This window comes from Homo sapiens, chromosome 14, assembly GCF_000001405.40.
Source record: "Homo sapiens chromosome 14, GRCh38.p14 Primary Assembly".
Lineage (NCBI taxonomy): Eukaryota > Metazoa > Chordata > Mammalia > Primates > Hominidae > Homo > Homo sapiens.
The window spans coordinates 61,732,973-61,757,732 of NC_000014.9; the positions used below are offsets into that span (position 1 = coordinate 61,732,973).

At 38.9% G+C, this 24,760-nt stretch overlaps 1 protein-coding gene and 2 long non-coding RNA genes across 5 annotated transcripts in view, besides 6 other annotated features; 1 reads left to right on the forward strand and 2 right to left on the reverse strand.

Annotated features, from left to right (window-relative positions):
- Positions 1-15,286, forward strand: part of HIF1A (hypoxia inducible factor 1 subunit alpha) — a 52,746-nt gene extending 37,460 nt beyond the window's left edge. For 2 of the 3 annotated variants that reach the window (NM_001530.4, NM_001243084.2), the window contains exons 8-15: positions 1,166-1,313; positions 3,917-4,137; positions 5,115-5,401; positions 7,533-7,655; positions 7,783-8,216; positions 11,733-11,841; positions 12,719-12,845; positions 13,962-15,286. In NM_001530.4, coding sequence (NP_001521.1) covers positions 1,166-1,313; positions 3,917-4,137; positions 5,115-5,401; positions 7,533-7,655; positions 7,783-8,216; positions 11,733-11,841; positions 12,719-12,845; positions 13,962-14,113 — 1,601 coding nt within the window. In that variant the 3' untranslated portion in view covers positions 14,114-15,286. The remainder of the gene's footprint in view (positions 1-1,165; positions 1,314-3,916; positions 4,138-5,114; positions 5,402-7,532; positions 7,656-7,782; positions 8,217-11,732; positions 11,842-12,718; positions 12,846-13,961) is intronic. The other variant, NM_181054.3, reaches the window with a different exon arrangement.
- Positions 1-18,125, reverse strand: part of HIF1A-AS3 (HIF1A antisense RNA 3) — a 35,540-nt gene extending 17,415 nt beyond the window's left edge. The window contains exon 1 of the long non-coding RNA NR_144368.1: positions 17,913-18,125. This is a non-coding gene — a long non-coding RNA (HIF1A antisense RNA 3). The remainder of the gene's footprint in view (positions 1-17,912) is intronic.
- On the reverse strand, positions 14,067-16,117 carry HIF1A-AS2 (HIF1A antisense RNA 2). Its single transcript, NR_045406.1, has one exon. It is a non-coding gene; the product is annotated as an HIF1A antisense RNA 2 (long non-coding RNA).
- Positions 18,147-18,456: a silencer, noted in NCBI's record as "silent region_5825". NCBI's record gives its function as "represses an Ori minimal core promoter by ATAC-STARR-seq in GM12878 lymphoblastoid cells {active_cell/tissue: GM12878}" and the evidence as "EXISTENCE:reporter gene assay evidence [ECO:0000049][PMID:35858748]".
- Positions 21,907-22,408: an enhancer, noted in NCBI's record as "OCT4-NANOG-H3K27ac hESC enhancer chr14:62221597-62222098 (GRCh37/hg19 assembly coordinates)". NCBI's record gives its function as "activates a minimal SCP1, AML or CMV promoter by ChIP-STARR-seq in naive H9 embryonic stem cells {active_cell/tissue: H9 hESC(naive)}" and the evidence as "EXISTENCE:reporter gene assay evidence [ECO:0000049][PMID:30033119]".
- Positions 21,907-23,212: a biological region, named in NCBI's record as "P300/CBP strongly-dependent group 1 enhancer GRCh37_chr14:62221703-62222902".
- Positions 22,013-23,212: an enhancer, noted in NCBI's record as "P300/CBP strongly-dependent group 1 enhancer chr14:62221703-62222902 (GRCh37/hg19 assembly coordinates)". NCBI's record gives its function as "activates an origin of replication core promoter dependent on BRD2, BRD4, P300/CBP, MED14 and CDK7 cofactors, with strong dependence on P300/CBP, by STARR-seq in HCT116 cells {active_cell/tissue: HCT116}" and the evidence as "EXISTENCE:reporter gene assay evidence [ECO:0000049][PMID:35650434]".
- Positions 22,409-22,908: an enhancer, noted in NCBI's record as "OCT4-NANOG-H3K27ac hESC enhancer chr14:62222099-62222598 (GRCh37/hg19 assembly coordinates)". NCBI's record gives its function as "activates a minimal SCP1, AML or CMV promoter by ChIP-STARR-seq in naive H9 embryonic stem cells {active_cell/tissue: H9 hESC(naive)}" and the evidence as "EXISTENCE:reporter gene assay evidence [ECO:0000049][PMID:30033119]".
- Positions 23,611-24,196: an enhancer, noted in NCBI's record as "NANOG-H3K27ac-H3K4me1 hESC enhancer chr14:62223301-62223886 (GRCh37/hg19 assembly coordinates)". NCBI's record gives its function as "activates a minimal SCP1, AML or CMV promoter by ChIP-STARR-seq in naive H9 embryonic stem cells {active_cell/tissue: H9 hESC(naive)}" and the evidence as "EXISTENCE:reporter gene assay evidence [ECO:0000049][PMID:30033119]".

Here is a 24,760-nt window from a genome sequence, read left to right on the forward strand (position 1 = left end):
TATTTTGATATAGGCATGCAGTGCATAAGGATAAATGGAGTACCTATCACCTCAAGCATTATCTTGTGTGACAAACAATCCAGTTATACTCTTTTGGTTATTTTTATTTTATTTTATTTTATTTTTTTCTTTTGAGACAGGATCTCACTCTCGCCCAGGCTGGAGTGCAGTGGAGCAATCTCAGCTCACTGCAACCCCCGCCTACCGGGTTCAAGAGATTCTCCTGCCTCATCCTCCCAAGTAGCTGGGATTATAAGCATGTACCACCATGCCTGGCTAATTTTTGTATTTTTAGTATAGACAGGGTTTTGCCATGTTGGCCAGGCTGGTCTCGAACTCCTGACCTCAGGTTATCCACCTGCCTTGGCACCCGGCCTCTTTTAGTTTCTTTAAAATGTACAATTAAATTATTTTTTACTATAGTCACCCAAAACAAGTACCTTTGACATAAGATTTGATTCTGAATTTTACTCAAATGAATGTTAAGATCCCCAAGATAAGTTAAACTTTGGACTATCTCACCTGTTTAATCTGTACCTATGCATGACTTCCCACTGTGCTTGAGGATACCTGAATATCACTGAGTTTGTGTGACTGATCAGCCTTGAACTCAAGAGTAAATCCAAGTCTGCAGTCAGGACACCCCAATCCTCAAAATAATACCATCATTAGCATTTATTTAGTACTTTCTCCCAAATCAGTATTTAATTTAAATTGCCAAAAGACTTACAATGTGGTATCAATTTATATTTAAATATGCTACATATAGCTTTTTAAAGCATCTTTGGTTCTCTGGAAACCATAGTCAGAATTTAAGGAAGTTATTGTGGCACCATTTTCTTGAAAAAGGCTATTGATTATTCTCTAATCTGACACCAACCTAAGTCATTAAAGGAATTTTAGTTACTGAAGATTGTATATTCATGAACTCTTCACTTAGCTCACTGGCAGCAAAGGAGTTTTATTTAGGGGGTTTGAAAAAGGAAATGGGTACATTTTCAGCTATTCTGGGACGCACTGTCAGAATGTAAGCAGTTACAACTGATTCCACTAAATAAACATTTGTTTTCCAAAACAATGATGAACATTCAGCATCTGTTCATTTAATTGAAAATTCAAAGTTAAAATATTTTCTCTGCATGATTCTTTTTCTTTTCCCCCCTAGTGTTTACTAAAGGACAAGTCACCACAGGACAGTACAGGATGCTTGCCAAAAGAGGTGGATATGTCTGGGTTGAAACTCAAGCAACTGTCATATATAACACCAAGAATTCTCAACCACAGTGCATTGTATGTGTGAATTACGTTGTGAGGTAAGTAAGTTTGAGAAATAAACATTTTTGGGGAACAAATAGTAATTCTTTTTGGATACTCTGTTCATTTATAGGAAGATAAGATAATAAATATTAACTAAATTTTAATTCTTTTACATCGCTACCAAATTATTATTTTCTATACTCTGACCTAGGTTTCCAGTCCAGCTATTCCACAGTGATGCTGCTAAACACTGTCAGTAGTTGTCTATCCCCATACCTTCACTCCTATTTTTAAAAAGACCATGAAAAAAATACCAGATCCATTGATTGGTTTGGTCTAATTATACAGATATCGGCATATACTATCTCAAGACAGCTGTGTTCTTTTTGTAGGAAGAATCCTGGCCTAGATTTGTATCATAGCTCTACCACTCATTAGCTCCCTGACCTTGGGGAAGTCTCTTCATTTTTCTGAATTTCATCTATGTAGATAATCCTTCAGAAGGTTATAATGAAAATTAAATGAAATTCTATGAGATTAGGGAGGGGGGAGGGATAGCATTAGGAGATATACTTAATGTGAATGATGAGTTAATGGATGTAGCACACCAACATGGCACATGTATACATATGTAACAAACCTGCACGTTGTGCACATGCACCCTAGAACTTAAAGTATAATTTAAAAAAGAAAAGAAATTCTATGAGATTAATAAGCTATATGATGTAATACATGGCTCTTGTATATTCATGAACTCTTCACTTAGCTCTTTGGCTTGTGAATATTATGTACATCAAAATTTAATTTTTCATTTGATCTATTTTACTAGACTCCTGCCCCATCTAGTCTACCTGTCCACATTATTACCACATTCTAGTCCATCTTGCCCATTACTACCAGGCTAAGCTTTCTAGTGTGGATATGTCATCATCTTATTTTCCTTAGAATTTTAGCGATCTTTTTATCATTTCCAAGATAAACACTTGCCTAGGTGTACAGCATCCTTGTTTACCATCATACTCACGCATTAGAGATTTAGCCTTCCCTTTAAAATCTAGGGTCACTCCTCTTAGGAAGACTTTGGGCAGTTTTTATTTTTGCTACTTCTGACACCATCCTTTAATGTTTTAATATTAGTGCCACAGAGTTCTTTTGTGACTTTACCATTATGTAAGAATCTTCCACTTGGAATGTCTTTCTCTTCCTCACACCCCAGTCTGCCTAGCAAATGCCACTTGATCCCAAGTATCAGCTTGTTAGCTTCTCAGTGAAGCAAGCCTTCTCTATTTTAGCAGTTATCACAGTGTATTTTAATTGTTTACATATCTACTTTCACAATGGGTTATAAATTTCTTAAGGTCAAGGGTTGGCTATTTTAATCTTTGCATTATCAGTTCATTTCAGATAGTGAACATTTAATACGTTAATTAAAGGAATAATTTACATTTAAGCCAAACGTGAAGATAAACTATTGCTCATCATCCCTCTTCAGCCGTATCCTGTAGGTGGTATCACCTTATATTCTTACCACCAAAGAAAATATGGCCCCTCTCTTAGAAAGATCTTAATCATTTATCTGTGTATCTTTAGGACTATCCTTAGATCATGCCTCACATATTGATGCCAAAGAGTTCTTTTGTGCCAATTTCATAATGTGTGTCAGCACAACAATTCTGAAGATTTGTTGGTGTCTTTCATGTACTTGACTACAAATTGCCTTGCCATTACTACTCTTCTCAAAGGATATCTGAAATTCTTTTTTTCTTTTTTTTTTTTGAGATGGAGTCTCACTGTCACCCAGGCTGGAGTGCAGTGGCGTGATCTTGGCTCACTCCATTTCCCGAGCTCAAGTGATTCTCATGCCTCAGCCTCCCAAGTAGCTGGGACTACAGGTGTGCACCACCACACCGGGCTAATTTTTTGTATTTTTAGTAGAGACAGGGTTTTGCCATGTTGGCCAGGCTCTTGAACTCCCAGGCTCAAGCGATCCACCCGCCTCAGCCTCCCAAAGTCCTGGGATTACAGGCATGAGCCACCACGCCCAGCCTGGATATCTGAAATTCTTAACTGAAATTAGTCAAATTATCTTGTACTGGGGATTTTTTTTTTAATTTCAACTTTTATTTTTGATTCAGGGGATACATGCATAGGTTTGTTACATGGGTATATCATGTGATGCTGAGGTTTGGGGTACAATTGATCCTGTCACCCAGGTAGTGAGCATAATACCCAACAGTTGTTCAACCCTTGCCCCTCTCCCCTAGTAGTCCTCAGTGTCTATTGATGCCATCTTTATGTCCACAAGTAACCCAGTGTTTAGCTCCCACTTACAAGTGAGAACATGCAGCATTTGGTTTTCTGTTCCTGGGTTATCTCACTTAGGATAATGGTCTCTGGATGCATCCATGTTGCTGCAAAGGACATTATTTCATTCTTTTTTATGGTTGCATACTGTGGATTTTATTGGGTCTTTATTTTGTATTAGCATTTTAAAACCCTAAATGTGACACAGTACGCATGAGTGATCATGCATCTCAAGAAATCTTGAAATGTTCCTGTCCATAAAGCAGAATTTTTTAAGAGACCATTTCACAGTCTCCCTTCCCCTCACTGTATCAAGTGCTCATTTGTGAATTACCAATTTCTCTTGTTTTGACAGTGGTATTATTCAGCACGACTTGATTTTCTCCCTTCAACAAACAGAATGTGTCCTTAAACCGGTTGAATCTTCAGATATGAAAATGACTCAGCTATTCACCAAAGTTGAATCAGAAGATACAAGTAGCCTCTTTGACAAACTTAAGAAGGAACCTGATGCTTTAACTTTGCTGGCCCCAGCCGCTGGAGACACAATCATATCTTTAGATTTTGGCAGCAACGGTGAGTAGTTATTTTTGTTAATCCCCTAAATTGTGTCTGTTGCTACAAGCCCCATTTCAACTAAACATTACTTTACGGTTTTTGTTGGTAATCATTTGGACATTACAAGCTAATATATGTTTATAGTTTTCTTAAATGTATTTGCTTAAATATTTTTGCCCCCGTAATTTCTTACCATTCTTGCTTTTTTATACTGTTGGAAATTGTGCTTCAAAGTGTCCTTAAGGTATTTCTTCTTCCCACATAAATTTTTCCTGGCTACTCTATTTCTGTATCCTGCTGTCAGATTTTCTCCACAGTTTAGCAGAGTTATATGGAAGTAGGCATTGTTGCATTAAAGGATAAAAAAGTAGTCATACTATAACATCAAGCATTGAAGATGAAAACTGCAATTTTAAAGTAGAGAACATTTTAATGTATAAAAAGGTTGGTATTGCCTTTTGTCTTTTATGCCATAGAGATTAAGACGCGGTATCAATAGTGGATTGTAAAGGTAACTCAGACTTATGGTTATACTATACTATTGTATGTAAACTTTCTGATGAAGGAAAATTTGGTGACATTTTGTTGTTTGATGAATTAGACAAACCTTTTGTGAAAAAGAACATAAATTTTTTATATGTGAAAATCCTTGTGGCCGGGCGCAGTGGCTCACGCCTGTAATCCCAGCACTTTGGGAGGCCGAGGCGGGTGGATCACTTGAGGTTAGGAGTTCGAGACCAGCCTGGCCACCATGGTGAAACCCCGTCTCTACCAAAAATACAAAAGTTAGCTGGGCGTGGTGGTGTGCGCCTGTAATCCCAGCTACTTGGGAGGCTGAGGCAGGGGAATTGCTTGAACCTGGGAGGCAGAGGTTGCAGTGAGCCAAGATTGCGCCATTGCACTCCAGCCTGGGCAACAGAGCAAGACTCTGTCTTGGGTAAAAAAAAAAAAAAATCCTTCTATACTTTAGATTGACTCATATTTTTTCCCCACAGACACAGAAACTGATGACCAGCAACTTGAGGAAGTACCATTATATAATGATGTAATGCTCCCCTCACCCAACGAAAAATTACAGAATATAAATTTGGCAATGTCTCCATTACCCACCGCTGAAACGCCAAAGCCACTTCGAAGTAGTGCTGACCCTGCACTCAATCAAGAAGTTGCATTAAAATTAGAACCAAATCCAGAGTCACTGGAACTTTCTTTTACCATGCCCCAGATTCAGGATCAGACACCTAGTCCTTCCGATGGAAGCACTAGACAAAGTTCACCTGAGGTAGGTGTCATGATATAATCAGAAAGGGACAACTTTCAGATTTTAACATTCAAGAATGTATTTATAAGTTTGATTCAAACACTTATTTGAACCACAAATTACATTTGTGTGTGTGTTTGAATTTTAGCACTTTAAAATTATTGCAAGAGCTACTGCCTAACCTAGACCTGAGCACATGTTTTAGGCTCAAAGATAGTCAGGAACATGGGAAGAAACTAGCTTAATATAAACCAAAAGGTGAAACGTACATTGTTTCTCTATTATTTATATCAGTAGGACAAAAACATCTTGAATTTGGACATTTAAAGAGAATAGTACTAAGTGTGCTCAAGGTAGCTACAGCCTATACCTGTTACCCCTTTTAGTTTGTTTTATTGTGTTTTGTTTTGTTTTGAGAAAGAGTCTCACTATCACCCAGGCTGGAGTGCAGTGGTGCAATCACAGCCTCAACCTCCCAGGCTCAAATGATTCTCCCACCTCAGCCTCCCAAGTAGCTGGGACTACAGGCCTGCATCACCATGCCTGGCTAATTTTTTAACCTTTTTTTGTGTGTGTGTGTGGAGTTGGGGTTCTCACTATGTTGCTCAGGCTGGTTTTAAACTCCTGGGCTCAAGCGATCCTCCTGCCTTGGCCTCCCAAAGTACTAGGATTACAGGCGTGAGCTACCATGCCTGGCCCATTACCCCTTTGAGTTGGAGAACTGTCTGGTAGCAATAGACTTACGAGGGTTTAAATGGGAAAGGACCTTATAAATTCTTTGCCCAATTTAGTCTAATTTCCATCACTATTTTGAAATTTTGGGTAAGTATAATATGAAAATAACAAGTGTTACATAAAATAAATACTTAGTAACTGGTCTTTTTTATTCTGGATCTGTCTTGATATTAATTGTCCTATGAACACAAAAATAATCTTTAAAGGCTAGGCTGGCCAAGACTTAGAGATATCACACAGGGCTCTATTTCTAAATCTAGAATGATTCCATTTTAGGGCTTCCTACATCTAAAAATATGCTCAGGAGTAGGGCAACTTAGATCTGAACATTATAACTTGATAAATGAGGCATAAATAAGCTTTAATAAGTGGTAAATAATTCTACATTAGGTATTTGTTGAATAAAACTGACAAGCTAAGAGTAGGGGATTTGACATCTCACAGCCTTGTGTTGAATGAATATATATCCTATGCTCTGGTTGCTTAATTTACCCAGAAAAAAAAATGTTTGATTCATCTTGGTTTTTATCTAACAAAAGTAAATCTAACAAAAACGTTAGAATGAGGAAAGCAAAATTTCTTGTTTAGAATACACAGCTATAGTTTTTTGTTAAACTTCTTGCCCAGAACTCTTAAAATAGTAATAATGTACATTCGTTCAGGTATATGCAGGTAAAATAACTTAGGTTTCTACTCCCACCCCCGACAGTAACAGTGAGATTTTTAGGTAGCTCAGTCACCACAGGAGTGTGCCTTCTCAGTTCAAAGGTAAATTCCAGTGAATGTAGCATCTAGTTAATTGGTCAATTAGGTACCATTGTGGGATGTGAATTACCAAATAGGTTTTATTCTTTAGAATAAGGTGTTTCTTTTCATCTCAATTTTGTAAATGATGTTATATTACATAGTCAGAAATATATATATTGGCAAAATTAGTTACCAGTATAAGCTTCAAAATGTCACTATTTTCACAAATTTTTTTTTTTTTTTTTTTTTTTGACATGGAGTCTCACTCTGTCGCCAGGCTGGAGTGCAGTGGCATGATCTTGGCTCACTGCAACCTCTGCCTCCCAGGTTCAAGTGATTCTCCTGCCTCAGCCTCCTGAGTAGCTGGGATTACAGGCGTTTGCCACCATGCCTAGCTAATTTTTGTATTTTTAGTAGAGACGAGGTTTCACCATGTTGGCCAGGATGGTCTCGATCTCTTGACCTCATTATCCCTCCACCTTGGCTTCCCAAAGTGCTGGGATTACAGGCGTGAGCCACTGAGCCCGGCCTAGTTAAATAAAATTTGATAAACACGATGGACTTGGTTGTGTGTTTTCTGGTTTTTCTGAGATCTAGTTTGAAAATTCTGACAACTAGCAAAGTATATGGAAGCTTCTTCAGGAAATAGTAAACATATTTCTTTTTACAGCCTAATAGTCCCAGTGAATATTGTTTTTATGTGGATAGTGATATGGTCAATGAATTCAAGTTGGAATTGGTAGAAAAACTTTTTGCTGAAGACACAGAAGCAAAGAACCCATTTTCTACTCAGGTATATGAACTTATTTGTTTTATATTAAATTTCATTAATTTTTAGTCTGAAGTGACTTTGAGTTTCACTTGTTTTTTATTTATAAGGTGTGGCCATTGTAAAAACTCATGTATTTGCTGTTTTAAAGGACACAGATTTAGACTTGGAGATGTTAGCTCCCTATATCCCAATGGATGATGACTTCCAGTTACGTTCCTTCGATCAGTTGTCACCATTAGAAAGCAGTTCCGCAAGCCCTGAAAGCGCAAGTCCTCAAAGCACAGTTACAGTATTCCAGCAGACTCAAATACAAGAACCTACTGCTAATGCCACCACTACCACTGCCACCACTGATGAATTAAAAACAGTGACAAAAGACCGTATGGAAGACATTAAAATATTGATTGCATCTCCATCTCCTACCCACATACATAAAGAAACTACTAGTGCCACATCATCACCATATAGAGATACTCAAAGTCGGACAGCCTCACCAAACAGAGCAGGAAAAGGAGTCATAGAACAGACAGAAAAATCTCATCCAAGAAGCCCTAACGTGTTATCTGTCGCTTTGAGTCAAAGGTATTTATATGTAACATTCAAGTTATAGTTCTTTTATTATTTTTGAGATAAATGTATGTGATAGTACATGATTTTTAAACTTATAGCAAACTTTCTGATATATATGCCCTAACGCAAATTCTTGAGAACTCAAAAAACTTTCTAAATTAACCTCATATATTTTTTCTTTTTCTTTCTTTTTTTTTTTTTTGAGACAGAGTCTCGCTTTGTCGCCCAGGCTGGAGTGCAATGGCATGGCACCATCTCAGCTCACGGCAACCTCTGCCTCCTGGGTGCAAGAGATTCTCCTGCCTCAGCCTCCCGAGTAGCTGGGATTACAGGCATGCACCACCACGCCCGGCTGATTTTTTTGGTATTTTTCATAGAGACAGGGTTTCTCCACGTTGGTCAGGCTGGTCTCAAACTCCCGACTTCAGGTGATCCGCCTGCCTCAGCCTCCGAAAGAGCTGGGATTACAGGTGTGAGCCACCATGCCCGCTCCTATTTTTTCTAAAATAATTATAAATTCTAAAATTACCTATCTAAATGGAGGAGGGTCTTCTGACACCTTTAAAATAAAATCCAGCTCAGTACTGTAAATGTGTTTACAGAACTTGTTTAAAGTTCTTACAGTTGTTTAAATCAGACTAGTTAACTACCCTCACTACTTAGATGCTTCCATTTCTTAGAGCTCTTTTTTAAGCTTATCTGAAGAAAAGCCCTTCCAATTTAAGGGTTATTTCCAATTGCACATTCCAAATTGAGCCTTCCATCTTCAGCATTCAATATAGATATTTACAGGCCCCTCTTTTAAAATTTTATTATAGTTAACTTGTATTAAAGTTGCTTTTATTTTTCATTACGTATTTGTAGAACATTAGCTATATATATATTGCAGGCTACATAGGTTTTCAAACTGTACAACAGGAATCTAAGCATGAATTGTTACTTCTATGGAGCTAGTTCAAACAAACATATGGACATGACCCAATTTTTAAGTTATACTTTCTGTATATAATTTGTAAGGGGATTTCACATATTTTAAGTTTGAGGCTATAGCTAGAAGAAATTAAGTTTTATCTAATAAGTGTGTGGAAAAGGGAAATGATTCCTTCTCTACTATGTCTAGACTAAGCCAGATATCAATAGCAATAGGAAAGAACCACTGTCGTAGCCAGAACACATAGCTTTTTTCCCTGCCTAACATTCCCACCTTGACCTAGAGTGCTGGGAGAGGTCTTTTCCCTAAGCTTGGAAAAGACATTGGGGCTTTAGATGAACTCAGAAGTACTTTACATTACTTTATTTACTGTGTCACTTACTCACTTTTGACTCTGAGCTCCACGAGGGCAATCACAGTGTCTTGGGCATTTTAGTGATACTAATACTTAGCTCATGACCTAATGTGTAGTACTTCCTCAATAAATGGTTGTTGAGGCAGGGCGCAGTGGCTCATCACTGTAATCTCAGCACTTTGGGAGGCTGAAGCGGGTGGATCACCTGAGGCCAAGAGTTTCAGACCAGCCTGGCCAACATGGTGAAACCCGGTCTACTAAAAATGCAAAAATTAGCTGGGCGTGGTGGCACGTGCCTGTAATCCCAGCTACTTTGGGAGGTTGAGGCAGGAGAATTGCTTGAACCCTGGAGGTGGAGGCTGCAGTGAGCCGAGATCGTGCCATTGCACTCCAGCCTGGGCGAGAAGAGTGAAACTCGGTTTCAAAAAAAAAAAAAAAAAAAAAAGTTGTTGGACTGACAGATGCATGAATACAGTAGTAAAAATGACAATCACTTATAAGTTACAGTTTACTATCAGCTACAGAGGATGGGATATCCAGTTTTCTGAACAACTGTTCTCTTGTACTTGTCAAAGCCAAAGTGTAACAACACATCAAGTCACTTTAGCAATTTATTTTTGAGACGGAGTTTTGCTCTTGTTGCCCAGGCTGGAGTGCAATGGCGTGATCTCGGATCTTGGCTCACCGCAACTGCCGCCTCGCTGGTTCAAGCAAATCTCGTGCCTCAGCCTCCCGAGTAGCTGGGATTACAGGCATGCACCACCACACCCAGCTAATTTTGTATTTTTAGTAGAGACAGTGTTTCTCCAGGTTGATCAGGCTGGTCTCAAACTCCCGACCTCAGGTGATCCACCTGCCTCAGCCTCCCAAAGTGCTGGGATGACAGTTGTGAGCCACTGTGCCCAGCTAGCAACTGTTTTTAAACATTAGTTCCAATGTAGTGTACACTGAAAACTTTTATGAAAGGAATTTCAAAAATTAAGATAAACCATTAAAAACGTAATTACTAAGTACTACTACTACTACAATGATATTTACATAATAGACTGAGTTACATTTCATAAAGACAATATATCTGTATAAGAATTTTTAAACTTCCCTGTCTATATAATAGAAGTTTTAGAGAAATTTTTTAAAAACCAAAGAAAACTGCAAAATAAGATCACTTACCTATTTGGCATTCTCAACTGTCTGGAACAGCAAGGAGCCATTATGATTATGCATTTGGTTTGTGGGGTGTCTTGAAAAGTCAAAATAATGTAACAAAGCTGATGTACTTTACTCATTAGAACAATTCTTCACAATTTAATATTAATTTTAGATATACATAGTTCATGTTTGATAACCAGATCAATACTGAGTGAAAAATAGCATAGTGGGAAGAGCAGGGGAGGGGAGGTAGGGATCTGGAGACCTAGAGTGTACTTCCATATTGCAACTAGTGAGCAGTAGGACTTTGAGAAAGTTACCCAATAGGCCTCAGGGTTCTAATTTATAAAATGGGTATGATATGCCTGCCTTATCTGTCTTGGGAACTTAAGTAAGGTTAAAATGAACTAATGAACTTGAAATGTTTTATAAACTGAAAATGCTATACGAATGTGAGATTGATCTTGTATTTCAATAGTCCCAACAATATCACTGCATTGTTATATTAGGTGGAATAAAAGGACAATATTTAACTGTTTTGACTCTACAATAGTGTCAATTTAGTTGTGTTCAGCTCTATTTTATAAAATAGGGATACGCATACTGTAGAAAATTTCCTGTTAAATTAAGCTTTGACGGCCAGGTGCTCACGCCTGTAATCCCAGCACTTTGGGAGGCCAAGGTGGGCAGATCACTTGCGCTCAGGAGTTTGAGACCAGCCTGAGCAACATAGTGAAATCCTGTCTCTACAAAAATATGTATATATAAATTAGTCATAATCCCAGCTACTTGAGAGGCTGAGGTGGGAGGATCACTTGATTCCAGAGGCAGGGCTTGGTTGCAGTAAGCAGAGATCACGTCTCTGCACTCCAGCCTGGCTGACAGAGTAAGACCGTGTTTCACCAAAAAAAAAAAAAAAAAATTAAGCTTTTACTTTTAAGATGATAAACTTTAGTGATCAGGAAAGTTATCTTATGTATATTATATTCCTTAATATTGGAGAACTAAAGAATTATGTATTTTCTTTAAAAGCGCTCACTGGATATTTTTTTTAAAAACGCTATATTTTCATTTAGAATTTTTTTCTTTTCAGAACTACAGTTCCTGAGGAAGAACTAAATCCAAAGATACTAGCTTTGCAGAATGCTCAGAGAAAGCGAAAAATGGAACATGATGGTTCACTTTTTCAAGCAGTAGGAATTGTAAGTATGAGTAGTAGGTTTTGCTTTTCTAGCTAATGTGCTATTTCGTGTGTGTGTGTGTGTGTGTGTGTGTGTGTGTGTTTCCACGTTTCTTCCAAATAGTAAAGTTATATTTTCAGAAGTTATACATTGGGTTTTTTTACTCTGTATGCACTGGTTTTTAAAAATACAAATGTTTAATACATACATTCTTGGTATAAAAATTCCAAACAATTCCAGTGTATTTTGAGTTAAAAAGTGAAGTTCTCCCCTTACTCCACCCTGAATATCACCACCAATCTCATTCTCTTCCCTTTAAGTTACTTTGCCTTATTAAAAGAACTGCTATTGGCCAGGCACAGTGCCTCACGCCTGTAATCCCAGCACTTTGGGAGGCCAAGATGAGGATCACTTGAGGTCAGGAGTTCGAGACCAGCCTGGCCAACTTGGTGAAACCCTGTCTCTACTAAAAATACAAAAATTAGCCAGGCGTGTTGGTGCACAACTATAATCCCAGCCACTCTGGAGGCTGAGGCAGGAGAATAGCTTGAACCCGGGAGGTGGAGGTTGCGATGAGCTGAGATCAGGCCACTGCACTCCAGCCTGGGTAAGAGAGTGAGAGTCCATCTCATATTTAAAAAAGAACTGCTATGTTTTGGGGTAAGTCAATGGTGGTATAATACATTCTGATATTTTCAAACTAAATTAACTGGAAAGTATTTATAGACAGAATGGTCATAATGGATGACAAATAACTTAAGAAAGAATTCAAAATAATTTAGGGTAGTATTTAAGAAACTGCCTATAATGTTATTAAATTTACACCAATTTCAAGGTTTTTGGTTGTTTAAAAAAAAAATTCAACAAACTAAACTTGAAATAACTTTACTGTTTATAGGGAACATTATTACAGCAGCCAGACGATCATGCAGCTACTACATCACTTTCTTGGAAACGTGTAAAAGGATGCAAATCTAGTGAACAGAATGGAATGGAGCAAAAGACAATTATTTTAATACCCTCTGGTTAGTTTATTCTTTTTGACCTTGAACATCACAAAGACAAAATACATGAAACATTTTTATTTAGGAGCTTTAATCTAAGTGAGAATGACTTTGGTTCCTTAGCAAGATTAAAAAGTAAAGTTGTGGCTGGGCGCGGTGGCTCACACCTGTAATCCCAGCACTTTGGGAGGCCGAGGCAGCCAGATCATCTGAGGTCAGGAGTTGGAGACCAGCCTGGCCACCATGGTGAAACCCCGTCTCTACTAAAAATACAAAAATTAGCTGGGCGTGGTGGCGGGCGCCTGTAATCCCAGCTACTTGGGAGGCTGAGGCATGAGAATTGCTTGAACCCGGAAGGCAGAGGTTGCAGTGAGCCAAGATGGCACCACTGCACTCCAGCCTGGGCGACAAGGGTGAGACTCTGCCTCAAAAAAAAAAAAAAAAAAAAGTACAGTTGTATTTCATGTGATGGTCTTAATACAGAGATTAACATTTCAAGGTGGAGCTTTTCATTTTTAGTAATTTTCTTTGATTTCTCTATGTCCATGTGCTGTCAATATTGATAGAAGCTGAAATTTGTGAACTTTTATGACTTCTTTTTTTTTTTTTTTTTTTTTTGAGACAGGGTCTCGCTCTGTTGCCCAGGCCTGGAGTGCAGTGGCATGATCATAGCTCACTGCAGTCTCAAACTCCTGTGCTCAAGCTCAAGCAATCATCCTACCTCAGCCTCCTGAGTAGCTCGCACTACAGACATGCCTCACCACACCCGGTTGCTTTTTGTAGAGATGGGGTCTCACTATGTTGCCTAGGCTGGTTTCAAACTCCTGGCCTCAAGTGATCCTCCTGCCTCAGCCTGTGCTAGGATTACAGGCATCAGCTTTGATGCCCACCATATTTATGCCTTTTTCCAAATTGTTATTTCTTTGTGCCTTTATTGTATCCTGTAAACATTTCTGACACAGCAACAGTATCACTGGATTATACTTACTTTTTAACATAGTTGTGGTTTTGCCAGGTAAACTAAAAACCCTTCCAGAATTTTGCTTTATTTTCTATGATACCTAACACATTGTGGGTGTTTAATAAATATTCATTGACTAGATGAATGTATACTTAGGTATCTCTTTTGTTTTTCAGATTTAGCATGTAGACTGCTGGGGCAATCAATGGATGAAAGTGGATTACCACAGCTGACCAGTTATGATTGTGAAGTTAATGCTCCTATACAAGGCAGCAGAAACCTACTGCAGGGTGAAGAATTACTCAGAGCTTTGGATCAAGTTAACTGAGCTTTTTCTTAATTTCATTCCTTTTTTTGGACACTGGTGGCTCATTACCTAAAGCAGTCTATTTATATTTTCTACATCTAATTTTAGAAGCCTGGCTACAATACTGCACAAACTTGGTTAGTTCAATTTTGATCCCCTTTCTACTTAATTTACATTAATGCTCTTTTTTAGTATGTTCTTTAATGCTGGATCACAGACAGCTCATTTTCTCAGTTTTTTGGTATTTAAACCATTGCATTGCAGTAGCATCATTTTAAAAAATGCACCTTTTTATTTATTTATTTTTGGCTAGGGAGTTTATCCCTTTTTCGAATTATTTTTAAGAAGATGCCAATATAATTTTTGTAAGAAGGCAGTAACCTTTCATCATGATCATAGGCAGTTGAAAAATTTTTACACCTTTTTTTTCACATTTTACATAAATAATAATGCTTTGCCAGCAGTACGTGGTAGCCACAATTGCACAATATATTTTCTTAAAAAATACCAGCAGTTACTCATGGAATATATTCTGCGTTTATAAAACTAGTTTTTAAGAAGAAATTTTTTTTGGCCTATGAAATTGTTAAACCTGGAACATGACATTGTTAATCATATAATAATGATTCTTAAATGCTGTATGGTTTATTATTTAAATGGGTAAAGCCATTTACATAATATAGAAAGATATGCATATATCTAGAAGGTATGTGGCATTTATTTGGATAAAATTCTCAATTCAGAGAAATCATCTGATGTTTCTATAGTCACTTTGCCAGCTCAAAAGAAAACAATACCCTATGTAGTTGTGGAAGTTTATGCTAATATTGTGTAACTGATATTAAACCTAAATGTTCTGCCTACCCTGTTGGTATAAAGATATTTTGAGCAGACTGTAAACAAGAAAAAAAAAATCATGCATTCTTAGCAAAATTGCCTAGTATGTTAATTTGCTCAAAATACAATGTTTGATTTTATGCACTTTGTCGCTATTAACATCCTTTTTTTCATGTAGATTTCAATAATTGAGTAATTTTAGAAGCATTATTTTAGGAATATATAGTTGTCACAGTAAATATCTTGTTTTTTCTATGTACATTGTACAAATTTTTCATTCCTTTTGCTCTTTGTGGTTGGATCTAACACTAACTGTATTGTTTTGTTACATCAAATAAACATCTTCTGTGGACCAGGCCCCTTTGATCAGCTTTTATGTTCAAATATTAATAATATTTGCTTCAACACCTCCAACTCATAAAATTGTTTACCAACAATTTAAGCACTTATGAAAATTACATGGTACTGGTTATTTCTACATTTATCTTAGTGCCATCACCTTAATGTATGTTGAGTCCCTAAATGTCATGTTAAATAATAACAACCATAATATCCCATTGAAAAGAGTATGTTGTTAGAAAAGAAACATCATTTTTAAGTTTCTGAGCCTATTAAAATGCTCAAACACAAAATATTAGTATTTTTAAAATATGAATGGGATGAGTGAAGCAGTTCTCAGCATTATAGTCACAATGTTACAAAGGCTAGAGCTTCTCTGAAGATTTCTAATCTGTTCCCATTAACAGATTAATAAATTTAGACTTCAAATGAATAATTTGCCCAAGCTTTAAAAGTAATAGATGGCAGACCAAAAATGTAAGCTTAAGTTTCCTGACTCTAAAGTCAAACTTAGAACAAATTTGGTTTGTTTTTGTTTTAATGATACTGCGTTTTAAAACAAAGTAGCTTTATCCTTTTTCTCCTGTATTTTTCTTTTACAAAATAGCTGTATTTCTTTTATACTGATAATCTCATTTTTAAAAATCAGACAGTGTAGAAAGATATTTTTTAAAACAGAAAAATCACTATGAATCCCTGCACCTACAGGTACAGAAAATTATTTTTATGAACAAATTATGTAGGAAGTGCCAGAGCCTTAGGTCCTTTACCCTGAGGTATATATACTGAACAAAAGGAACTGAGCCACAGATCTCTTAGGTAGCTCTTTTTATCTTACAATGGAGGACAGTGATTACAATTATATGAAAATTTTGGAACAAAAGTTAATACTAAGATTCAGTGCAAAATTTGGGGGGGGGGGGGGCACAGGTATACTTAAGCACAAACACTGTGACCCAAAGTGCTTCAACATTTAGTTACAGATAGTAGTATACTAGAAGTGGTATTTTAGAATAAAGTGGTTGCTTAGTATTCACAGGTCACAAAACAAAAAATTATTCTTGTATAGCAAATTAGCTTCAGTTGAAAACTATTTGTAAAAGCAGATTATGTAATGACCAGGAGTTCAGGAAAATGACTTCTGAAAGCATTGAGAAGGGAAAGCCACGTTAAAGGACAGTACAGCTGGAAGGAAGCAAGTACTTACCCACTGCTCAGTCACTAAGACAACAAGCTCCTTGGAGTGCTTTAAGCTACGGAATAGCAGAACTGGCCCTTCCCAATTTTATGCACCGTCACAAATTTCTTCATAATGGTTTTGTCCAAGGCTTATAACCCAACCCTGGCAACTATAATCCTTACTTTATGAAACAGCTGTATTTCTTTTATACTCATAACCCAGAAAAATGAGAATGTATGTTCTGAGTATAAAAGAAATGTAGCTATTCCATAAAAATACAGGAGAAAAAGAATAAAGCTATTTTAATTTTTTTAATGCAGTATCATTAAAAAACAAACCAAGTTTGTTCTAAGTTTGACTTTAGAGTCAGGAGACTTAAGCTTACATTTCTGGTCTGCCATCTATTACTTTTAGAGCTTGGGTAAATCTTCATTTGAGATCTAAATGCTATATATAGTTCATTCATAGCAGTACCAGATAAGGGAGGAGTATATCTATACAGTATATAGTCTTGAAGAAGTGATCTAAGGCTCGGAGCTTTTGAGGTGGCCATGAGTGACTCCAAAGTCCATGGAGCTAACCACCCTGCAGTGCTAGCCAATCCAGTTGAACATACCCTTTTCTCCATTGTTAACTGTTTGTTTAAATAGCAAACAGAAGGCGGCAATGGAGGTGTGGAAAACTGAGGATCCGATGTCACTTGAAAGTAATGAGATCACATAACATTGAGGGAATGTCCTAAGAGGAGTGGCAGGGCATAAATAGAAATGAATAAAAGTGTTTTCAAGTGCCATTTAGTGGGTTCTGAATTTGAACTAGAGATTGAGATATCCAGTTATGGAGACATTAACTCAAATTAACAAGGTAGTGAATGGGAAAGCACAAACTATAAAAGACTGTATCAATGTATGGTATTTTTTCCCAGAGCTGTTTTGACTTAATGGCATAATAGATATGTTTAAGTTTTTATAACCTCACGATTATCATTCCAAATCTTATTTTCCTCCTAGAAGCCTCTGTACAGAAAAGATGAACTTAAAATTACTCGCTTTGTAGAAACTTAATCTAAAAGTTCAAAATGTTTAAGTAGCAATACCTAAAACAAGTTGCAGAGTAAAGAATCCTCTTTTTTTCTTTTTTTCAACATTAAGATTTGGTTAAATAAAACCTTTGCAAACGTGTTGCCAGCTGGAACCAACAAAAATGTAAAGAAAAAAACTTTTACTTTTTTTTTTTTAAGTTTTCCACTAACCACTTTGCTCACATTTCGTTCCTTTAAATAGAGATGAACCTGTCGTCCCAGATTATTTTACAGAGAAATAGTGAAATTAGTGGAATTCGATACAAAAATAGTCTCCCTGTAGGATAAAAGTTATACTTTACCATAAACCTTCCTATGAACGCCTTCTGGAGCTTTGATGTGTTCACACCTTTCAGAGGTTTGGACATAATTTTTATTCTTACCTGTAGTGGATAGTTTTTCCAAGACGCTGCCCAGACACCCGATCTCCGTGTACTATTGAATTTCGTTTATTCCCTTGTCTTGGCTCCATTCTGGGACGGAGAGGAAAGACAGGTGCCTGAGAGCGGCAGCGGTCAGAGCCCCGCGGGGAGAATACCAAGCATGCGGAAGGTACCCGGCACCCTTCTGTTCCTGGTGTGGCTGGCGCTACATGATGAGGATGCGAAACCCAAGCCAACCCGAGAAACTTCCCGAGCCCCGCCCGGCGCGCGGCAGGCCACGCCTCAGTACGTGCTCGGGCGCAGCACCGCAGTCCCGGGCCCCGCCCGCGGCCCCGGCCGTGGGCTCCAGGGCTCCAGCCGCGCAAGGCGACTTTCGTGTACGCTGTGGGGTGGCTGCTGCCCGCTGCGCGTACGTGTGGGAGCGCATGCGGGAGGCCCTGGCCGCTCCTGGCCTGCGAACGGGCGGCGCCAGGCGTGGGGGGTCAGCCCTGGGCTTTGTCTTCTGGGACTTGTCAAAGTCGGAAGCCTAGTGCTTCCCCAAACTTTGTTTTTTAGATGGGGGGGGCGTGGGCGAATGGGACTTGATGTATTGCGGAAGAGCTGCCTCCCGAAATTCCCAAGCAAATGCTTTGGGGTATGAAGCTTTTTCTTTGTAGAATAGAAAAAGTTGAGTTCTAACAGATTGGATAGTGGTTAGTTATATAATACTTTTTTAAAAAAAATTAGACATCTAATCAAAAATAGAGGAGTTCTATGTTTATTTAAATATATTCCTCTTAAGGCACTCAAAGAGTTCGTTTATTTTAAATAAAGCACGTTGAGATATGCCTAGTTAAGGATCTCGAAACTTTATCCCACTTGGTGCCGTTTTTATTTTGGTGGTTTTGTGGGGGGTGGTTTTTTGGGCTTTTTACTGTTTTGATTTTATTGTATGCCAGCTATTGAGAATCCTTTGGGAGAAGATAATCTTGTTGGACAGAAGGGAGATGAGTGTATAGAGTACGGAAAAAGCTTGGAGCCTTAATCTCTGTAATAATTGGTATGTTCAGATTGCACAATGTATTATAAAGTACAAAGCCAGGTATTTAGAATAAATAACTTCGCCTCTGCATATCCACAGCTCACTACATTTTACATTTTATTTTCATTTGTTTCCTTCAGGAAAATTCATTGTTTGTGGTTTCCTCAAATAGCATTTTATAGAAAGCAAAGGTACACTTTTCAAAAGTAGTTGAGGTGTTTTAGATACTTTTTTACTAATAAAAACTGATCTGTAGCCTCACTTATCATATGTGTGTGTGTTCGTGTCTAATCAGGGAGGTGCCCTTTAATGAGAGTGCCATAATTCTTTTGGTCCTACGGATGCATAATCATTATAGATGGACAATTTTCCATAGAAGAGAGCAGGCTGGTGGGGCTGTAATATTTATCACAAAGGGTCATGCTTTTTACAAAGTAGAGAAACACTGTGTAAAGTCAGACAAGTAGATTAGGATTCTGTGAAGTAAAATCTAATTTTAAAGATCTTTGAAATATTAACATTAAAAACCCTGTTTTATGTAGAGATCCTTTCCAAATATGACTGGATAATATTATTTCCTCTGAAATGGATTTTTAAAAACGGTTCTACATACAACTGCTATGACAAAATCTTTCATAGGCGTACAGAAACAAGCTGGACAGAAGTCATAAACTGTTGCCTGACTCCCTAATCTGCTGGTAGAATATTAAAGCAAAAACCTAAAGAAAGTGAGCTACAAATACGGAAAATTAGAAAGGAGCCAATACAGCCTGGGAGGTACTTTGCATCAGCCTTTGCCTCTTACTTAGAGTTTTCCCAACTGCAAATATTTATCATTCCTGTGAATTTCCTTATCACTTCCTCTTTAGCTTTCTCACTTCTCTTTTTTTAACCTTATAATTTTTGCATGTCTTATCCCTCGTACTAAACTCTTAGTTTCTTCAGAGCATGGTTCCCATCTGACTCATCTTTGATCCGTCCTAAAGCCTTCCACTCTGCATGCGCAAAAACAACTCACACATGATCCAAGGTGGAGAGGATTTCAGGTGTGTCAGAGACTAGAGAAGAATTATGATCAGAGGAACAAAGTGGGGAACAGAACCATTTTCTAGCTCTTCCAGGGAGATCCATTCAATCAATGAGTAGTGTTGAGTGAGTACAAGATATTATTCTAAGACCTCTAGGTGATATAAATATTCTAGAATATGGTGCCTGCTATCAAGGGTGCAGTTAATTCCCATTCTGTGAGGTATTCACAAATTCAACTGTACTTGTGCAAACACAGTTGAAATCTAAATAGAGTTTTTATTGGCCCTTTGAGATGTTCCAAGCCACCGTTACCTTTCCTTTTCATGGACTGTCTCCAGCTTGATAATCACCGTCTCCAGCCCAGGGTGCTCCCCGCAGGCGCCCCAAATTTGGCATGTCAAAAATTAACTCCTTATTTGTCTTCCAAATGGCTTCTCCTCTTGCATCTCCTGCTCAAGGAATGGCACCATTCAGTCTGAAACCAGAACCCTAGAGGTCACTTGTCACTACTCCCTTATCTACCATATATAGTCTGACACAGTCCTTTGCTTTTCTTAAATTATAATTATGGAAACTTGAACATGTACAAAAGTAAAGAGACTATAATGATGCCAAAGTGTCTTTGCAATTTGTGTTCTCTGGGAAGTAGACTCTGAGATGGAGATTTCAGGTGATTTATTGGGGAGTGCTTTTCAACACATGTGGAAGAGAAAGAACAGAAGTAGGCAGAGGGAGAAACAGCTGAGGAGCAGTCCCAACAAAGCCTTTAGCAGCCACATGGGGAGCTCTGGAACTGCAATAGCCCTTGAGACTTGTCCCAAGTTACAGGGAGTATGGAGGCCTTTACACCCCTACACTGATCAGTCCCTTGATGTGGGCTGCCCCCAGGAGACATGACCTTTAGTAAGGCAGGTTTCTTCACCTGAGACAATCCCCAGAAAGGGCTGACAGCTGAAGACCATCTTCTGCTGCACTTCCAGCAGCTTGGAGAGTAAGTGGTTCATTCCTGAGACATCTGTGTGTCATCACAATATCACCCACAGTGCAAGCTTTAACAGGGGTCAACTCATGGATGATCTTTTTTTCAGCTGTACCTCTACATACACGCACACACACACAAGTGTACCCATTATTTTGGTTTTTGGGTTTTTGTGGGTTTTTTTGAAATTGAGTCTCACTGTGTCGCCCAGGATGGAGTACTGTGGCACGATCTCGGCTCACTGCACCCTCTGTCTCCTGTGTTCAAGCGATTCTCCTGCCTCAAATTTTTGTATTTTTAGTAGAGATGGGGTTTCACTATGTTGGCCAGGCTGGTCTCAAACTCCTGACCTCTGCTGAGCCACCTGCCTTGGCCTCCCAAAGTGCTGGGATTATAGGCGAGAGTGAGCCACTGTGCCCGGCCAATAGCTACTAAATTTTAAAATTACTTTTTTCCTGTTAACAAAAGTAATCATATTCCTTGTAAAATGTTATAAAGATACAGAAATGAATTATGTAAGAAGTAAAGTCCTTTGGCACTCCACCTCCAAGGACAACTACTGTTTTACATTCATTATACTGTTCCCATTGAGAACATTTGAAATATAGAAATAACATAATCATAGTGAGAGAGAAAGGGCAGGTCTTTAATTTTCCTTTACCACCTTGGAATGTAAATAAATGGTTCCAAGTGAGAGAAGTCTCTAGATCTCTTCCGAATTTTCTTCTTTAAGATTGATATCTAGTTATCCTTTACTCAAACGGTTCAGGAGCACTGAGAAATCCAGGGAGAAAAATCTTCCAACTCAAGGCATTCCAGGCCTTGAGACCTCTTGCCTATTTGTCCAAATTCTGCTAACTTCTTTCCCTTGCGTCCTGTGTCCCAGTGATGTAACCTTCTAACACGCTCTCTGACCTCTTTGTCCTTTGTAGTTGCTTTCTCTCTGTGTCTGCAACACCCTTCTTATTTCATCTTCATCTCCTTAATTTCCTGCATTTTTCACAACTCATTTCTACTTTAGAAAGCCTATCCTCTCAGGGACTGGATTAGGAGATTCTCCTCAGTGTTCCCATTTTGTGTGGTGTTTAACTCTTGCACGGTATTAATCACACTAAAATTGTACTTATGTACTTGAAGTGAATTGTTCTGTACTAAATGATGAGCAACCTGAAGATAGGAGTTATGCCTTTAAATGCATACCTAGCAGAATGGCAGCTTAAAGAGCTCTGTGGCCTCACTCCCCATGAAACAACTGTAACTGGTGAAGCACTTTAAAAACAACCATTTAAAGTTTATTGAAACTGCCCAAAGGTTATACAGCAAATGAAGAACTGTTTATTCAAGAAAATCTACTACATCTTGGTAAGAACAGCAATAGTTAGTCAGAGGTACTCTCAAGTACCATGCCTCACATGCCACTCCTCACATGCCACTCATGCCTCACATGCCACTCATGCCTCACATGCCACTCATGCCTCACATGCCACTCATGCCTCACATGCCACTCATGCCTCACATGCCACTCATGCCTCACATGCCACTCATGCCTCACATGCCACTCATGCCTCACATGCCACTCATGCCTCACATGCCACTCATGCCTCACATGACTTGCTGCTTCTACCACCTTGCCCACCTTGAGGAAAGTTCCACACAGGTGGGTATGGCCAAGAAGATGGGGCTCCTTCTTCTCCCAAATCCCAGTAGAGGACTATGAGCATTTTGGTCACAACCATTTAACCAGTCTTTAGGAAATTCCAAACTTTCCCTCATCTTCCTGTCTTCTGAGCCCTTCAAACTCTTCCAGCCTCTGCTCATTACTCCTGTGCTCATTACTCTATGAAAGGAAAATAAATCTCAGAACCACAAAATCACTAAACCAAGGGAAAAGTCAAGCTGAGAACAATGTCTTATTTAGGAATAAAACTTCTAAATGAAGTTGTCCTGCCTAATCGGACCAAACCAATGTATATCTTACACATATTGATTGATGTTTCATGTCTCCTTAAAATGTACAAAAGCAACCCAATCACCTTCAGCACATGTCTTCAGGACCTCCTGAGGCTGTGTCACCAGTGTGTCCTTAACCTTGGCAAAATAAACTTTCTAAATTGATTGAGATTTGTTCTAGATACCTTTTGGTTTACAGTTTGAAAGCCACTTCCACATCTTTGTAGCAATGCCTCAATCCTGGTACCAATTTTCTGTGTTAGTCCACTCGTGTGTTGCTATAAAGAAGGACCTGAGGCTTGGTAATTTATAAAGAAAAGAGGTTTAATTGGCTCATGGTTCTGCAGCCTGTATAGGAAGCATGGCACCAGCATCTGCTTGGCTTCTAGTGAGGCCTCAGGAGCTTCCAATTATGGCAGAAGGTGAAGGGGGAGCCAGCACATCTCATGGTGAGAGAGGGAGCAAGAGAGAGAAAGAGGACGTCCCAGACTCTTTTAAACAACCAGATCTTGTGTGAACTAACTGAACAAGAACTCACTTAGCACCAAAAGGATGGTGCTAAACCATTCGTGAGGGATCCACCTCCATGATCCAATCACCTCCCACCAGGCCCTACCTCCAACATTGGGAATCACATTTTATCATGAGATTTGGAGGGGACAAACATCCAAACCATATTGTGTATCTCCCTGGAGGGACAAGCTGCCAGCATTTCTACCCGCTCTCATGTTCTGTTGCAAAGGCTAAATTCCAGATGAGTGTGGCCTGGAGAATGGAAAGACTGGGGACTCCTTTCCTCCTTTCAGACTGCATTCACAGAGCAGTGGCTCTATCCCAGGTGTAGCAGACTGAGAGTAGTGGAGCCCCAGTTGCCCTTATTGCAGCTCACATATAGGGTGCGAGTTCCAAGCAAGGACAGGCAAGCTGAGAAGAATGAATGGAAGCTACTTCCCCCTTGCAGAGCCTTGCTTATAAAGCAGGAGAGTCAGCCAGGCGTGGTGGCTCACGCCTGTAATCTCAGCACTTTGGGAGGCCGAGGTGGGCGGATCACTTGAAGTCAGGAGTTCAAGACCAGCCTGGCCAACATGGTGAAACCCCGTCTCTACTAAAAACACAAAAAGTTAGCTGGGCATGGTGGCGTGTGCCTGTAATCCCAGCTACTTGGGAGGCTGAGGCAGGACAATCACTTGAATCCGGGAGGTGGAGGTTGCAGTGAGCCGAGATCGTGCCACTGCACTCCAGCCTGGGGAGCAAGAGTGAAACTCCATCTCAAAAAAAAAAAAAAAAAAAAATGAAGGAGAGTTACTCTGAGAGAAGAAAGTGACTGTCCCCATCCTCAGCTCTGGCTGGAGCAGTGGCTCAGAGATTTTGCTCAGGGGGAGAAACATCCATAAGAAAAGAAAATTCTGAAGCTCTTCCCAGAAGAAATTAGTTTATTTGGAACGGAGTAGGGGAAAACTTGAACCTAAAGGTGCTCTTAAAAACAATGGATATTTTGGTTGTAAGCAATTAAGAGGAGGCTAGTACCTTCTAAAAGCAACAAGCTAAACTGCAGACCACTAGTTTACCAGAAAAAGCTAGGGAAGAAATGGCTAAGAAGAGCCTTCCTGGGATCAGAGCAAACCTCAAGATTGAACTCAAAAACTACCTCTGCAAAGGAGCCTAAATTTAATCAGATTAGACAATGGAGTAATTTATTCCCCCAGGGCATTGTCAAAAACAACAGAGCAATCAGCTAGCAATTAGTGGACTCTAACAGCTGGGTGGATACTAAAAGGCAGACAGTTTGACAGAGAGATGGGGAAAGACAAAGATTACTGGTAAAACCACTATCATCCCAGGGTGAAGGGTCTAAGGAAGGTCAAGGCT